Raw genomic sequence first — 19,132 nt, forward strand, 5'->3', positions numbered from 1 at the left:
AATAGAATAGAGAATACAAAAATAAATTCACACGCCTACAGACAACTGATTTTCAACAAAGGTGCCAAGAACACACAATGCAGAAAAGAATCTCTTCAATAAATGATGCTGGAAAAATTGTATACACACACACCAAAGAATAAGACTAGTCCCCTACTTTTACCATATAGGAAAATAAACTCAAAATGGATTAAAGATTTAAATGTCATGCCCTAAACTATAAAACTATTAGAAGAAAATATAAAGAAAGCACTTCATGACATTAAACTGGGCAAGGACTTTTTAAATACGACCTTGAAAGCTTAGGCAGCAAAAACAAAAAAAGACAAATGGGATTACATCAAACTAAAAACCTTTTGCACAGCAAAAGAAACTGGTAACAGAATGAAAGACAATTGACAGAATGAGGGAAAATATTTGCAAACTATACATCTGACAAGGGGTTATATCCAGAACATAAAAACAGCAAACCCCACAAATAACCTGATTAAAAAAATGGGAAAAAGTGGCCAGGCATGGTGGCTCACGCCTGTAATCCCAGCACTTTGGGAGGCCGAGGCGGGTGGATCACAAGGTCAGGAGATTGAAACCATCCTGGGTAACACGGTGAAACCCCGTCTCTACTAAATATACAAAAAATTAGCCGGGCATGGTGGCGGGCGCCTGTAGTCCCAGCTACTCGGGAGGGTGAGGCAGGAGAATGGCGTGAACCCAGGAGGCAGAGCTTGCAGTGAGCAGAGATCATGCCACTGCACTCCAGCCTGGGTGACAGAGCAAGATTCTGTCTAAAAAAAAAAGAGAAAAAGTACTCAATAAACATATCTCAAAAGAATACACAGAAGGCCATCAGTTCAATGTCACAAATTATTTGGAAAATGCAAATGCAAATTAAAACCATAATAGAGATACCACCTCACTATATAATGGATGATGTGGAGGAAAGGAATCACTTACAGGCTCTTGGCAGGATTGTAAAGTAGTACATTCATTATGGAAAACAGTATCGGGGGTCCTCAAAAACTTAAAAATAGAACTATCGTATGATCTAGCAATCCCTCTACTAGGTATACATGCCAAAGGGAATCAAATCTGTATGTTAAAGAGACATCCACACATTCATGTTTATTGCAACACTATTTACAATAGCAAGGGTATGGAATCAACCTAAATGTCTAACAGTGAAGGAATGAATAAAGAGAATAATGTATAAATACACAATAGAATACTATTGAGCCATAAAAAGGAATGAAATCATGTTATTTGCAACACCATTGATGAACCCTGAGAATATCATGTTAAGTGAAATAAGCCAGACATATAAAAACAAATACCACATAATCTCACTCATATGGAGGAATCTAAGAAAAAAAAAGTAATCATAGAAGCAAAGAGTAGAACAGTAAGTACCAGAAACTGTGGAAGAGAGTGAGGAGGGGAGGATAGGGAGAGGTTCATCAATGGGTAGAAAGTTAGATAGGAGGAGTAAGTTCTGGTGTTCCGTTTCACAATAGGTTGATGACGGTTAATAGTAAAATATTGTGTGTTACCAAATAGCTAGAAGCTTTTGAATGTTCTCACCACAAAGAAATGATAAATGCTTGAGGTGATGGGATCCACTAACTAACCTGATTGAATCATTATATGACAAAAAGTATGTATGGAAACACCTTATTGTACTACACAAATATGTATAATGTGTCAATTTAAAAAATAACAATAACATTCTTTTTACAGTCACAATGACTTACATTTGCCCCAACACTGTTGGGGATAGCCTGTTGTCCCACTCAGCCGGCCAACTTGGATAATATCAAACTTTTAAAATTTTACCAATTTCTTAGGGAAAAAATGTGAATATGTTTTCATTGCATTTTTCTTATTTTTAAAAGAATGTTTAGAGTCATTTCATGGATTTGGGGTTTATTTATATATATTTTTTGAGAATTATGTGTTCATATTCTTTAATCTTTTTTTATTGATTTGTAGAAACCATGTATATGGTATGAATACCAATGCTTTGTTACTGTCTTTATTTGTCTTTAAATCCTATTTAACTGCCTCTTGCTACATTAGTAGACCAAAAAAAAAATGTGTAGTCAAATCTCTTTTAAGCAGTATTTCTATGAGTTGTGTTCTGTTATTTTCCCTGATGTATGGAGGAGAACCCTGAAACACGTAGAGACACACAGCTAGTAAACTGCTAACCAGGATTGGAACTTGGGTCTAACACCAGGGCTACTAGAACATAGGAATTTTTCTGTTGATTTTTCTCCCCTTAATGGCTTCTGAAATTCCAAAGATAGGTTAGCAGAATTACTAAGTTCTAAGCTTCCCAGAATAAGAAAGAAAGTTTTAGAATACTTCTCACTTCCCACAAAAGGTTAGGAAAAAGTGTTGAAGAGTGTGTTGCCTTTGACTATAGCTCCGTGTATTAGTCCATTTTCAGGCTGCTGATAAAGACACACCCAAGACTGGGTAATTTGTAAAGAAAAAGAGGTTTAATGGACTTACAGTTCCACTTGGCTGGGGAGGCCTCACAATCACGGCAGAAAGCAAAAGGCATGTCTTACATGGTGGCAGACAAGAGAGAGCTTGTGCAGGGAAACTCCGCCTTAAAAAACCATCAGATCTCATGAGACTCATTCACTATCATGAGAACAGTACAGGGAAGACCTACCCCCATGATTCAGTTACCTCTCACCAGGTCCCTCCCACCACATGTGGGAATTATGGGAGCTACAATTCAAGATGAGATTTGGGTGGGGACACAGCCAAACCATATCACTCTGTTTTGGACTTCCTATAACAGTGGCCAAATAACCAAGAAAGGCATAAAGAAAAACATCAAAGTATGTTTTGAGAGCAAAAACTTGTTAAGGGAACAATTAGCAATATATTTTACAAATACATATACACAAGTATGCCCTTCTACACACTTGCACACACATGCTTTTGTAAAAAGTTGGTGAGGATGGGCACAGCCATGTGGAAACACAAAGCAAACAGAAACCTCAGGAGCAGAAACCTCAGGCTACTGTAGAAGACCTGATGAGACTGCTCTAAGTTAAAATGAGGATTGGAGGTCCTGCAGCAGCCTGTGGAGTTGATAGGTGTGTGAAAGCAGCTTTGCCTGCCCTGGAGCACATCCTCAAGGGCAATGGAATAAACTCCTTGACTGAGTCTCTGGACTTGTGCCTGAACTGCCTGACCCTATCCACCCCTGTGCCTTCCCCATTCTGTGAGGGCCAATTATCTTCTGCCCATGCAGCAGCCTCTTGCATTCCCCATTCTTTTTCCTCGAATTTGAGGTTCATTCTGTCTCTGCCTTTCACTCTCCCAGCACCTCTCAGCTGGGTTCTTTCCCTCCATTCTGACAGTGTCCCAAGCTTAGCTGAGTTTGTCTTTCCAGCCTGAGTCCCCAAACTGTGCTTGGGCCGTTCTCGTATTTCATTTTTGACAGGACTGTGATTCCTTCCTCTCTTCTGAGTTTCTCTGTGGAGATGTTTCTCAGAATCGCAGGCCTGTGTCCTTGTCGTGTTCCCTGATAGCACAGAAGTCTTGATTCAACAACAAACAGTGGCACCTGGTGCCCCCAGCATTTCCTGATTTTGTATGATTTCATTAAAATATACCTACCTACTGTATCTAATCAGGTAATCTGCACAGATATGGTAATTGGAGACAGTGGGTTAATGTTGTTCCGTCCCCCCAAGGAACAGATAGGGACTCAACAGGACCCTTCACCAGAGGATGCTTTAACCCCAAAGAATGACTCATATGGTGAGAACTGCACCTTCCACCCCAGGTGGGCATTTCAGTGTTCATTAAGTTACACTGGATAGGTGAGCCACCCACTGTCTCTGCCTGAGGCTAGGTCTAAACCTAATATTTATGTAGGTCAGAAAATTTTTTTTGTTCTCTCTCTCATTTCACAGATGAGAACTGCTCTTCTCTTCTGTGTTGCATGTGTCGACGCCAGAAAAATGTCCATAATTCTCTGTTCTGCATCGCTTGTTACACAACTAGTCAACGCAAAATTTGATATGTGAAAATTGGTTTTTTAAATTTTTATTTGTATTTTTTTTGGCAGGCTTTGGGAAAGGCCTGTTTCCTGGCACTAAAAGTAGCCAGTCTTGGCGTGAACAGCCCTTGACAATTCCCAGCATATGGTAAGAGAAGACGCTTCTGCCCACCCATCAGGTAGGTGTCATCTTTCTGACTGGAGCAATGATAGATGTCGTGCTTGGAGAGCAATGACTGCCGGGAAAGGTGCCAAGCAGCCAACTGGCCAACACTAGTGAGCAGGTCAGAATATACCAGGCCTCTGGCCGAGGCAGGCCTGCTTGTACCCAGCCACACAGAGGCCGTACGCTAGAAAACTGAACACACAGACAGGTCTTGACTGTGGTTGCAGAGTTGAATATTATTATTTGTTTTTGCTAAATTAGCTGTAGAATTTTCAATAAGAATGATAGCTTCACCAACTAAAAATACATGCAAAGCACATCAGCTTCTGCTTTTAGGCCACAGCCTGTGAGTCAGCCTTATGTATAAAATGGACTCAGCCATCTCAAAGAGGAGGGATCTAACAATCAAAGTTTCTGCTATTCAGTTTATCAAAGCATTTTGTCTTCAGCACTGACTGTCAATGTCAGTCATTTGATCATTTTCATTCCTTTGGAAACCACTTTGCTGTTTTATAAAAAAAAAAAAAAGTATGCTCTATGTAGAAAAGTCTAATGATCCAAAAAGTACAAAAAATAACATGAAAATTATCCAAATACCGTTGCCTAGATATAGTCATTGGTAATACTTTTAAAAATAGTCTTAAATATGGCTGTTTACTGTGGCTCATGCCTGTAATCCAAGCATTTTGGGAGGCCAAGCCTGGAGAATCACTTGAGGCCAGGAGTTTAAGACCAGCCTGGGCAACAAAACGAGACCTCATCTCTACAAAAAAATGTAAAAAAGTAGCCATGCACTGTGGTGCATGCTTGTATCCCAGTTACTCTATCTAGGTGCTGAGGCAGGAGGATTGCTTGAGCCCAGGAGTTTGAAGTTTCAGTGAATTGTGATTAGGCCACTGCACTCCAGCCATGGTGACAGAGCAAGACCCTGTCTTTGAAACAAACAAACAAACAAACAAACAAACAGACATAGCCTTAAAGAAGTACCTATATTCCTAAATACAATATGTTACAAATGCAATTACACCATGAATGCCTGCCTATAACCTGCAATTTTTTATTCAATAATACATTATCAATATTATTTTTTAATGCAGTATCAGAGACCACTGCATGTGCACACTGATGTTTACTTAAGTGATCCTCTAGGGAGAATATTTAGATTGTTTCCAATTTTTAAATACTGTAGCAATGCTGCTGATTACATCTTTTTGTACTTGTGCAGTTATTACTTTAGGAAAATTTCCTAGAAAGTGACTGTTGAGACAATGGTAGGAACATTCTTCTCTTTGATATATACTGATAAACTTTCCGAAAAATACTTTATTGATTTACATATTCTTAACATTGCATTTTATAAAGCTTTATATATTTATGAATTAATTTTTATTTGCAGTCTAGGAAAAGATAGCAGCTGGTAGTTTTCACATAACTGGAAAAAAAGTGCTTGCTAAGGAGAGGGAGTAAGAGGCCACTTGGAAGATATTGGTGGGGCCATTGGCAAGAAGCTGACCAAAATCTCTGCTACAATTTTTTGGAAGTAAAAATAGGAAGACTTCATGATCAGCAACCTCAACCACAATGAATGCAACTCATAATCAAGCTATTTTGTCTCTCAGCATGCTCTCACTCTCCCTAAGACACAGCTCATATTTTTATCTCTTCTCAGAACTCCCATCCATGCTTCTTCCTCCTCCTTGACTTCAGTAAATGACTTCTCTTAAAACTCTCCCAAGATGAGATAGAAGCCATCAGAAAGGAATGTCTTCTTTGCAAATGAGTTCACAGCTACAAATAGTAGTATGTTTGATATACATTATATGTCTTGTTTTATTTTATTGCATTGATTAGGCCATCTAAAACAATGGTGAATTATAAAAGTCAGGTGCATAGATGTTAATGGGAATGGTTTAATAGTCAACCCAAGTATAATGCTTGCTCTAAGTTTCCGGTGGGTACCCTAGCTCAGTGGTTCTCACCAGAGGCACTGTGGTCACCCCCACCCTGGAGACATTTGGCAATGTCTGCAGAGGGTTGCTACTGGCATCTAGTGGGTAGAGGGCAGTGACACTGTTAAACATCCTATAATGCACAGGAAAGAACCCCACAATTATCTGGCCCATAACATCAATAGTGTCACTGTTGGGAAAGCCTGCCTTAGCTCAGGGTCCAGCCCAGTGTTTACAGAAGTGGCCTCTGGAGACAGACTGCCTGGATTGCAATCCTGACTCTACTACTTACAAACTGGAGTTCGACCAAATGAGGTTAAAATTTCAATAAAGCCTGAATTATGTACACATGGACCATCATTGCTTTGGGAAATCCTTCTGCATGCTGATGACATTATAATTAGAAAATAGCAGGTGTGAAACAAGTGAAAATTAAAAGTGAAGCTATTTGTTGTCTGTCTTGATACTTAATGGGAAATACTTTTGGAAAGAGTTTGGAATGGGTTTGTTTCTCTGACAAAAAAATCACAAGGAAACAAATTGGGTCGTGTATAAATTAGTTAAATTGAACTTGAGTGGAGACCTTCTAGAGCCATCCCTCCTGCACATTTTTCCTCCTCCTGACTTTATTGAAAGCCAGTGTAGATAATTAATTTTGTGGCTCTACATCCATGTTATGCTTCTGTCATCCATTGGCAGCACCCTGCCTGGATAGTGCCCTGAAATAACAGAAATAAGAAAGTTATTCTCTTGGTGACTAATGTGAGGTGGCTTGGGATAGGAGCATGCAACAGCTTGATGGCTATCTTTCTCCCCCTACACTTAACATAATCCAGGAGGGTTAGACTGACCCTTCCTAGAAAGGGAGGTAAGAAGAATGTCATCCACATCTTGCATGTTGCTTCATTTTCTCGATTTTTCTCACATTCTTTGATCTGTGTTCTGGAAGAGTTCTTTTGGTTTTCAGCACACTGACAATTGTTCTTCAGCTATGTCCAGACTGTCCATCCCATCCATTGAACTTCTCAATGATTAGGTTCTAGTGCTTTATTTTAATCATTGTATTTGTCTTTTTCAAGATCTTTAATTATATAAAGCTGTATACATCACCTATTCTTGTTTAAAGTATGTGATACAGTCTCTCATCTCTCTAAAGATATTAAATTCTCTTTTAACCTGTATCCACATAATAGGTGTGTGTGTGTGTGTGTGTGTGTGTGTGTGTGTGTACATCCTACACTCTTAGCTCTGATCATCTTCTTCATTGGTTATTTCAATACCCTCCTATTCTGAACCTCTACTTTCTTTCTTGCCAACCTCCAATTGTCAAAGAATGGCCCAAGATGGTTTCTTAAATGTTAACCAGATGATGTCATCAAACTAATTTAAATATTTCAGTGGGTTCTTGCTGAACATGGGACAAAACCCTTGCTCTTCACTTGATGATGGCCCCAACACAGCATTTGCCCCACATCAGAGAGTGAATTTTCCTCAGCTTTTCAGATGCAACAAGCTCTTTTGCCCCTCAAAGACTTGATTCTCTTTGCCTCCTCCTTCATTCTTGGCCCCACTACCTCCTATTTCCACTTCATGTCTAAGGCTTAAATGGTCCTTCTTCTGAGGAAACTTCCCTAAATCATTCCCTTATTATGATTTCAGTAGCACCTTCTGGTTTTCCTTCTTACAATTTATGAAACATGGAAAGAAAATTGACATGTATTTGACAACTATGTTTAATATCTATCTTGTTCTTGCAGGTAGCTCTATTAGGGAACGACCATGCCAGCCAGGTGCAGTACTTTATCTTGAGCGCATAGCTCAGGCTGGCCTCACCAATACCATGAGGAATTCTGTGATAAATGTATGAATAAAAAAATGGTCATATTGGCTGTTCCACTCCAAAGTCTAGTTGCAGGGTTCATTCAGTCTCCTGGAAACACATTCTTGACTCCTTTACCCTCCAGGTGTCCCAACATGGCATTATTATGTTGTGTGGAGTATGTTTGCTTGCATTTTGCTATCAAATCAGGCAAAATCAGGAAGAGTTCACTGTTGCTCTTTGTCATCTTTAGGTGAGGGATTGTTTCAGGAAACCCCATTGTGACCGCAGGAGACACTCCAGCTTTTGTGTGCAGGAGACAGGACATATGGGCAACTGGAAAACAACATGTCCTCAAGTCCAGCACTTACTGCTGCCTTGGGGGACTCTAGTTCACAAGAAAAAGAAGTCTGTTTTCTAAGGCCCCTTCCGAGCTCAGCCTTTCTGCAGATCTCATCAGCAGAGGCAGCAATTAGGGCTCATTAGAAAGGTGTTTTGGGTTTTTAATTTATTTTGTTTTCCTGATGTGGATACCAGGCCTGGAAAGAGTGAACTGAAAACTAATGTGTTTTAGGAAAAGGACACATTGTGGGGAGACAGCAGCTTTCCAGACACCGCAGAGAAAGGCTACCATGGGCCTTAATGAGGACTGTACCACACAGAACTTCTCCACAAGGGAAGGGGAGGAGAGTGGTGGGGTGCCTTTTTACCCGGGGGTCCTGGTGCACTCTGGCTATGTAGATCATCCTGCCACAGATCATTGACACTTCATAGGGATTCCAAGTTCCACCACAGCCCGCGGTAGGAAACAGTTGACGATGCATTATGAAGCTGGAATGGTTACAAGTTGCTAAACTACTTATCCTTTTTGGGCACTGGAGGATAAGGTGGTCTGAGTGGTTTTCTGAATGTGATCCCATCTGCCTTATGGATCAAGAGGGAAAGTAGGTGAGAAGCACTGTGCTGGAACAGTGTGGAATTGTACTTTCTGTAATGCATATCTGCTCCCTACTTCTTCCATCTACAATCTTTTACAGAATAAGTCCTACTTTTTCTTGTATCGTTTGTGTTTTGTATGAAATAGCACTATATGGATAAAGATTAAAAACCAGAGGCCTCCAAAGAGCAGGGGTGTTAAGTCAGAAGATGCTGGTTCCTGTCTAAGCTATCCAATTCCTAGCTGGGTGATATCGGGCTGATAATGAACCACCCTAAGCCTCAATTTCCTTAACAGTGGATGGAGCAGAGGTAGTAAGACCTGCCCTACTTATACCACATGTCTATTGTGCATACCAGCAGGGTACTTTATATGAAATACCTGGTACTGTAAATCTAAAGGATTCTATGGGCACAAAGATTTCTACAAGGGTTTTCAGTTACTCCACCACTGGCAACTTTCTTTACAAAAATAGCTGAATGAAGCCAGCATTACTCTGATACCAAAACAGTGTAAAAAAGAAAAATGAAGACTAATACCTATCATGAACTTAGATACAAAAATTCTTAACAAAATGTTAGCAAATATATATACCCCTACTACTGAGTTACACTGACCCGTTAATAACCAGTAACTCATTATGACTGCCAGTGGCAGATAAGGGAGCTCAATGTACACAGAAGAGAGGCCTGGAGGTGTAGCTGAGGTGGAGGTGGAGAAGAGAGAGCTAGATACTAGGCATGGGAAATTGCCCCAGAAAAGAGAATCTAGTTACGGAACATGAACCACCCATGTGCAATTTTGCCTCTGATTAGACCCTAATATTAATCATTTAATCACTCAATTTGGAATTATTATCTACATCTAAATTATGGTATTCCTCTATTCGTTTATACTCATGCACCAGCAAGTTTTATTTGTTTTTGAGATAGGGTCTCACTCTGTCACCCAGGCTGGAATGCAATGGTGTCATCTCAACTCACTGCAACCTCTGCCTCTCAGGCAGAAGCAATCCTCCCACCACAGACCCCATGAATAGGTGGGACTACAGGTGTGCACCACCACACCAGCTAATTTTTGTAATTTTTGTAGAGATGGAGTTTCCCCATGTTGCCCAGGCTGGTCTCCAATTCCTGGGCTCAAGCAATCTGCCCCTCTCAGCCTTCCAAAGTGCTAGAATTACAGGCATGAGCCATTGCACTCAGCCACCAGCAAGTTTTACTAAATATAGTTGATACTTGCAGTATTGGGACCTAGTAAATACTGTAGTATGTAAACCAACCTTCTGCTTTCAAGGAGTTTATCTACTAGGGAAGAAAGAGACATTAGAAAAGTATGTGTAATACAGAGTAGTGAGAGAGAGTGAGAGAAAACTACTTACATTGCAAATTTCAGAGAAAGAGCTTCCAAGCTCTGGCTTGGAGATTGGGTCTGATTTGGGTAAACGGAGATGGATGGGCAAGGATGCTCCAGGTGCAGAAAATAGCATGTCTTGAGTTTGATCTAGGCCAGGCATGGTGGCTCATGCCTGTAATCCTAGCACTTTGGGAGGCCGAGGCGGGCGGATCACAAGGTCAAGAGATCGAGAGCATCCTGGCCAACATGGTGAAAGCCTGTCTCTACTAAAAATACAAAAATTAGCTGGGCGTGGTGGCTCACACCTGTAGTCCCAGCTACTCGGGAGGCTGATGCAGGAGAATCCCTTGAACCTGGGAGGCAGAGGTTGCAGTGAGCCGAGATCACACCACTGTACTCCAGCCTGGCAAGAGAGCGAGACTCCATCTCAAAAAAAAAAAAAGAGGTTGATCTAGCTTACAGATGGGGCCTTCAATAGGGCACTTAACTTTCTGCTCAACAAATCTCAACTGATCTGAAAAATCCTTTCTTTCTGCTTCTTCCTCATCTTCTTCTCCGGGAGAAGCCCAGACTGAATCCAAAGTGCAGCTGGTTTGGCCTAGGCGCCAAAGAGCAAGATTGTCACCCGCTTCCCTCTTTTCACTAGTGAGGGGGAACTTAAGTCCAGGTGTTTTCACTTCAGAGACTCCAATGGCTACATTACACTCAGCACTTGGAAGGTAACAAATTTGCAATGTCACAATTGATAATCAACTCTAGTAAAAGAATGTCCAAATCAATTGAGCTTTAGCAAGGGCAAACCAGCTGGACGCAGGCAGGTTTCCAGCTAGAGCTGGCCAGGCTTGATACATTTGCCCTTATTATGGCTATTGATGTTTAAATTTCTTCAGGGATGTTGTTACATGGGTGCCTGGTGGTGACAGAGGTACGGTGACCTCCTTCGATCCTTAATCTACACCTGTTAGTTGGCTCCTTGGTTGCCTCTGAGTATACCCAGGCTTAAAGGTTAACAAAAGAAAAACAGGCCAAGTTTACGCGACGACAGCAGCGGATCAATGCAAGTAAATAACCTTCTCCGTCTTATTTCCCCAAGCATTATTGATCCAAGTTCTTTGTTCTTTGTCATGTTTCTGTCTTCTTTTCCCAGGGGACACTCAACAATCAGCTTCTATTGAACATGTTAACTGGCACATTATGACAGCTACCATTTTGTCACTCAGCGTGGTAATATACACACACACACACACACACACACACACACACGCACACACACAATTTTAGTAGGCTGTCTTCTAAGCTGTATACTAGGAAGTGAATCTCAGATATAAACTTGCTTTGCTCCGATTTATTTTTTTTCTTCTGTAGCAAGCAGGAGGATTCCATGACCTGTTATTCCATTAACAAGTTTATTTATTTGTTTTAAATATCTATCAAAAGGGACAGTGATCTCACGGTTTAAAGAAATCACTTAGCAGCTGCAGCTTGGGGCATATTTCTGGTGAGTTGTGCATGCTGATATCTGATCTGACCCCCGACTTATTTTTCTTTGGAAATTGGATCCTTTTCTTTCATTTCCCTGGAACTTTTAAAGGCTATTGTCATCTTCCCTTAGTTTTCTCTGTGAAACACTAAGGGATGTTACAGTGATTGCTCTAGCCATCTTGAACTCCATCTTTTTCCTAGACAGGTTCTGCTGGTGCCTTAGCAAGCTCCAAGTGAAGACTGCTAATTTGAACATGTCTAGCTATTGTACCAAATTCATTGGATTCCACCCATATGTATATGTTGTATGTATATCAATTGCAAAATAGAATTTTCTACATAAGTCTAAAATTTAAAAATGTTCTACAGGGGCAGGAAAGCTCTTTTTGCTGAAACTCATTATACTTTAAGGCACATATGTCTAGTTGAAAAGAAAAAAATAACTTCCTCTTTGAGTTACAAAATAAAGCTGAGTGAATGATAAAATTATGACAGTGAGTGTTGTACCCCTTTCTGTGGATCTCATCAATTGGGACAGATCGTTTATTTCTGAAAAAATACTTGAGAGAATTTAGGGATAATGTAAAATGTTTTCATGCTCATCATCCTGGGAGGCAAGACTGCTACTTTTAAACTAAAAACTAATTTGAATGAAAAAAAAAAAAAAAAAGAACCCAGAGTCTGCAATTGTTGTCCTTGAATTGAACATGTACTATGTCAAACAAAATAAAGCCAATACTAATTACTTTGCAAAAGAATAGTCTATTAACAACTAGACAGTGCCAGTATTTTCCTTGTAGACATTTGAAAAAGTTAAGCCAATATTGATGGTCTAATGTGAAACAGTGATTATCCATCGTCTTTGGGGTCAAATAGCAAAGAATCCTGTTCCTTAAATTATTCGACCAAACAAACTTCACTTGCTCAGAGATGTATGTAAATTGTGTGCTTCTCTCTTTCATTTGTCAATCATTAAAATGCCCATGTATATAATTAATACCGTTGCAAACTCCCTTGTCTCCCAGTTTTCAATTTTGTATTCTGTTTAATCCACTGAAGAGTCACCTTTTAAGTGATGTGTTGATGAAGTATGAAAGCTTATTTCTATCATTTCTCTACATGCAGAAATCACTGCAGGCATTGCTGAGGAATGTGAAATTGGTTATCATTAGTGTTTAGAGCTTTTCATCTTTGATGTGCTTTGCAAACACTAATTAATGAATCCTCATGTAACACCCACACCAAATGAAGTTGCTAACAGTTCTATTCAACAAATAATAACCCTAGGCCTTTGGCAACTTATTTGAGCTACCTAACTCTTTTTGTGAGTACACAGAGCAGGTAATAGCCCCAGGATTATATGCTTCTGGTTGTATGTGTGATATGCTAGGGTGTTCTCTGAAAAGGCAAATTTTTTCTCAGATACTTGTACCTTAGAGCACACCCTCTTGTCTTTCTTGTTTTTAAGTTATGTCATGTCTCTGTTTCATACAATCATGGCATTGAAATGCTGTTAGAAACATTTTATTTGCGTATGTTATTCAGGAGATTATACCATATGTTGTAAGCTTAATTTTGGAATTAGCCTTTATTTTTATTTTGAAATTTTTCCAGCCACTGGCTCTCTCATGAAGGTCAGTGCAGTTTTAAGCAAACATGGTCAAACTTTGGACAGAAATAAAAATGAAGTCAACTGAAAGCATTTCAACCTTTGGATTCCTGCCAAATAACCTCTTCTTTTCTATCCCCCAAGCTGTCGTTGGAAGTTAAAGAAGACTAAAAAACTATTTTCAAAGCTTTAAAAGTATTTGGTTTTATAGGAAGAGTCTGTTTGGGAATTGTTTATCCCCCAAATGAGAATTTTGTCAGTTTATACCATACTTTTAAAGAGCCAGGAATTTTCCAGAAATGGTATTCAAAGACACCTTTAGGGTAGAGAATGAAAATACAATCATGACCACTTTTACGATTGCTATAACTTTTCTATTTATTTGTTTTCTATCCTTTTCCAGATATACCTTTCTTATAGAAGTTTTCAATGTTAAAAATAAAGTCTGTAAAGTGTTTAGGTATTCCCTGAGCTTACCCCAGTCATGAAACAGACCCACAGTAGCTTTGCTTAGGGACCATGCCAATGTTAAAAATTAGGGAAACTGATTCAAGGCAGCCTCATGTATCCAGGGAAATTGGAATAATTTTAATACACAAAAATTAATTTCCCCAAGATATGTCAGTAGATTTTAATTGTATTTACATATACTGCCATAGAATATGCATGCTAAATACACCTTTCCAACATATCCATCACAGGTAGACGCCTCTGCTTTCTCTTGATCAGTTTTCCCATGGGAGGGCAGACTGAAGAATCCCACAGAAACAAGATGTTCTGCTGTAGGCAAGTAGAGCACGTACAACAGTTACAACTGTGCTCCCCTGGAAAGATAATCCACAAATACCGGACACTGTTTATTAGAGCCACATACGCTTGGAACCATAATGTATCTGCATATGATACATATTAGATGATCATTATCATGAACATTCTCACCGAGCATGACCTTATTATCAATGTATATCTTTTAGTGCCATTTTTTCTGTGTTAAAGCCCACTATGAGCCTGCTTATTTGTTAATGTCAAGCAATACGTCCAAAATGATTGTGAACTTCTTGAGAACGAGGCTGTGTCTTGATCAGTTTTGTATTTCCAGTACCTTGCCTCTTGTCTGCACAGGGATGGTATTTAGTAAAAGTGTGTTGAATGAAGACTAATACTCAAGCCACCAGTATTTAATTGTTATAATGCTTTAGCACTTGTTGACAGTTATTGCAAATGGTATCTGGAACATTAGAAACATGAGACCAGATTCGAAAGGATCTTGAATCACGTTCATGAGAGCTTGGGGTAGCTCCAAGCTCCAAGCATGGGCCATAATTTTCAAGGCCACATGAACCATAATTTTCAAGGCCACAGACAAAATTTGCCTTACTCCCTGGGAGAGATTTCATACTGGGCATGCCCAGGACAGAAACCTAAACTTTCATTTCCATTTCATGTTGAAGTAAACCTCCTAGACGGTTTGAGTGTGGACCCCACTTCTGAGGTCTGTGGCACACAAACACATTTCCCCTGATGTTTAAAGGAAACAGCCGAAGAAGAGGAAACAATTGTTCCTTCAGGTGTGCACCCAAGTTGGTTCTGAACCAATATCAAGGAATGATTGACCCACACGAGGTTGTGGAAAGGCCGTGTGGTATAGCGTAGCGGTTTTTAAACCTCACTGTATGCACAAATCACCCACTTGTTAAAATATAGATTCTAAGTCAGTAAATATAGGTCTGGGCTTGAGACGATGCCAGCCAAACAGCCACACACCTGGAGCCTTCTACCACATTAAGACTTCGATGAAAGGCAAGGTCAGGATTCTGGCATCCTTTAAGTCACAGAAGGGAAGAGATGATGCCAATCAGAAATGTGTTTGGGGGTTAAACCCCTCATGGGGTAAACTTTGACCCATGACAAAAATAAAATTTTCTTCTTTGCTATCTTCCAAAAAAGACTCTGAGGTTTTACTTTGCACAATTTCCAGGGGAGTCCCTGATGTTTTCGTAGACAAGCCTGCTGAGAAAGCTGCTGTATCTCACGGTGGTACTTCACACGGCAGCAGCTGGAGTCATATGCATCACTTTGAATTGTTTCACATCTTCCCTTGCCTCAAGTTTCCTTTTCTTCCTCTTGACTGACCTGAGCATGCATTGGGTCAACAAATCTGCGTTAGGTCCTACTTTTACATGGTATTATTATAGAAGTCTTGCCAACTTTAATATTTCTCATTCAACTTGGGGGCAAACTAGGTCATGTTTTTTTGGGAGGTGATTTGTAGTGGACCTCAGTATTGCCAAACTAATGTTTTTGGTCAATCTCTCTCTCTCTCTCTCTCTCCCTCTCTCCCTCTCTCCCTCTCTCCCTCTCTCCCTCTCTCCCTCTCTCCCTCCCTCCCTCCCTCTCTCCCTCTCTCCCTCTCTCCCTCCCTCCCTCTCTCCCTCCCTCTCTCCCTCCCTCTCTCCCTCCCTCCCTCTCTCTCTCTCTCTCTCTCTCTCTCTCCTTTCTTTCTTTCTTGACAGTCTCGCTCTCTTGCCAGGCTGAAGTGCAGTGGGGCCCTCTCAGCTCACTGCAACCTCCTGAGTAGCTGGGACTACAGGCGTGAGCCACCACACCCAGCTAAGTTTTGCATTTTTAGTAGAGACGGGGTTTTACCATGTTGGCCAGGATGGTCTCGATCTCCTGACCTCGTGATCTGCCCGCCTCAGCCTCCCAAAGTGCTGGGATTGCAGGCATGAGCCACCGCGCCCAGCCGGTCAATTTCATGTTTGTCCTCTTGGACAATAAATTTATTAAATTATGTCAGTAACCAATTTCATCATCATTAAAATCAAAATAGTATGTTGGCCCTATTGACTACCTTGTTGTGGGGGAATGCCACAGACATTGTAGGGTGTTTGACAGCATCCCTGTAATCTATTGACTAGATTCCAGTAGCACCCCCAGTTGTGACAAATAAAAATGCCTCTAGAGCTTGTCAAATATTCTCTGATGGGCAAAAACAAGTCCTGGTTGTGAACCACTGCCATTAACATTTCGGTAGCTTGAACTTTACAAGGTTAAGCCATGATTTCAAGATATTGAAATGATCGTCCATATTTACATTTCCCGTGAGATACTGTCTACATGAATGTGGGTGTTTCAACAAGTTTGATAACATACTTTTCCCCAATAAATTAAATGCAATTAATATGAAAAAGCATGGAAGGGTGCCATTATTAATTAGTGAAGATATGAACTTTAAGAGTTAGATAGATGAGGCAGAAAGGTGGATGGATGATCAGATAGACAGACAGACAAATAGAAAACACATTACATTAAGAGTATTTCCAAATATAAGTCATGCTAAATATACTTTCTCTTTAAGAGCAGGTTATATCTGTTCATTGCATAGTCACTACATTTGTGTACACACAAATAACACTAAATTTTTGAAAATTGTGTGTTCTATTCATTCTTTACATTGTACTCTGATATCGTGTTGGGCTTATTTATCTTTTTTTTTTTTTCCTATTGGGAACTTTTCTTTCAAGGTAATGAAGAACAGTGTACCTTGTTCAAATTGTCATGAAATTCAAATGAAGAAGTTTAAATTAATGAGGGTTTTACTATGCTTGAACATATGCTGAGGACTGATATCAGATAATCTCCAGATTCTGAACCAATAGCAATTATGCTTGTATCTTCAGTGGTGTCAACCTGAATTAAAAATTGGCCAGCTTTATTAAGAATACCTCTAACAGACTTCTTAATTAATTTAGAGATACTATCAAATAATGTAGTCGAGTGCAATTCCTAAAATGATAACATAAAAACACTTTGCCCTCTTCCTATTACTTTATTATAAATTCAAGGTTTCTTAAAGAACATTGTAATTGCTCAACATAAGCTAGATCCAGTGGGAAAAACTCATGTTACAGTTCCTTGGTTGAAATTATTGGTAATTCCTTTATCCCATAATAATTGTTTCTTTACTGTTACATTTAATTACACTAATCAATTGCATAATCTATGGGTTCTTCTACCTAGTTTTCTTCAATAGTGAGACTGATGTTAGTTGGCTTTATTAAATTGATTCACTTGCTTGAATCATTCTTTGCATGTACTTGGTACCTACTTAGAAACAGCTTCAAAATAAAACATACACATTATAATGTACGTAAGTGTAGAGTAGAATGTCTGAAAGAATGTACCCTAAAAGATTAACAGTGGCTCTCTCTGAATGGTGGGACTCAACAACGCTTTTTCTTTTTTTCTTTTATATTTTTCTGCTTGAATTATTTACAATAACTTGCTACCATTTTTTACCCCAAATTGTTAAATGTTTTCAAAACATGATTTATACTTATTGATACATTTTTAGTGTATAATGTTTTCAAAATTGCTATTACTTTCCAATATACACGTAATTTCTCAAAATATCCTTTCAGGAGTAAAATATGATACTGGATATTTGAAAATGCTATGTATAAGTATAATGATAAAACATTAAAGTAATTTTGTCTCATGCTTTTATTTAAATTTGAAATATGACTATTTACACAAAAAATGGGACTTAAAAGTAAAAAATAAAATGCTATTAATTTTCATCTTTTTTTGAAATTTGGCATTCTAGTTTTCACTTTTTAGTTCTTTTTGAAGTCTATCATTTCCCTCCATTGATATCAATTTATTATATACATACATACAAGCACACTTATACTTTGTAAACAACAGCAATGATATAATAAGTGATTTTGGGAAATTTACAATTATATAGGGATAATTTACTTAAGAAATGATCGTTACATATATGTTTATATTATATAACACACACTCATATATGAGAATTCAGTAAAGAAATTAATTCTTAGAAGACACAGCATTGGTTTAAGTCATCATTGTTATAATGATATTAAATATATGTAGATGTAACTAGATAGAAAATATTTATGCTTACAATTCCTTTACAACTAGAAGTTCTAAGCAAATTCATAAATTCAATGCATGCAAAACCATAAAGCCAATAAAATCCAATTAAAAACATTATTTTTAATATGGTGGATTATTTTATTTTACTAAAACTAAAAAGTTGAGGCTTCTAGTAGAAGCATGTAGCCTCATATATGGCTATCCAAAAAGTTTATGTGTGTATTTTGACTTCAGTTTTATTACAGAATTTGTATGTGGTGAAACTATATATATATATATAGTTATAGTTATATAATTACAATTGTATAGGGATAGTTCATTAAAGAAATGATTATTTATATATGTATATGATATAACACTCATATATGATAATTCAGTAAAGAAATGAATTCTTAGAAGACATAGCACTGATTATGTATACATATAACTTCTATATATAAAACAATTTCTATATATAAAACAATTGTTCCATAGATACATGATTTCTATATATATATAAAAACAATTATTCTATATATATATATATAACTTTTCTAAGACCCTGTTTGCTATTCTGAGATTACTGAGCCTCAAACTTTATCCAGACTGCATGTGACATACCTCCAAACACCATTTGGTTTGGTACACTGTTTTTCATTACCTTGAACGCCAAGAATTATTTGTTATATCTGTAAGACTTTCTTGTTCACTTGAATATAATGCTGGTGTTATTGCATTAGTGATAACTTCATTAAATGGGTATGTAATTCATTCAATTGTTGCTGAAACTGGAAATAGAAATAGAAAAAATTCTTCATTGTCTTTTTAGCATTACACCTACTGCTAAGGAAATGGCGCATGCTGTTATACATAAAAACATGATCCATGCAATATGTCTGTCGTGAAGGTGAA

The 19,132-nt window shown here is 38.6% G+C and overlaps 1 long non-coding RNA gene across 1 annotated transcript in view; it reads left to right on the plus strand.

Moving 5' to 3' along the window:
- The window catches only part of LOC105370991 (uncharacterized), a 152,871-nt gene that overhangs the window by 45,873 nt on the left and 87,866 nt on the right, over nt 1-19,132 (plus strand). The window contains exon 4 of the long non-coding RNA XR_002957693.2: nt 4,091-4,200. This is a non-coding gene — a long non-coding RNA (uncharacterized LOC105370991). The remainder of the gene's footprint in view (nt 1-4,090; nt 4,201-19,132) is intronic.

This window comes from Homo sapiens, chromosome 15 (assembly GCF_000001405.40).
Source record: "Homo sapiens chromosome 15, GRCh38.p14 Primary Assembly".
NCBI lineage: Eukaryota > Metazoa > Chordata > Mammalia > Primates > Hominidae > Homo > Homo sapiens.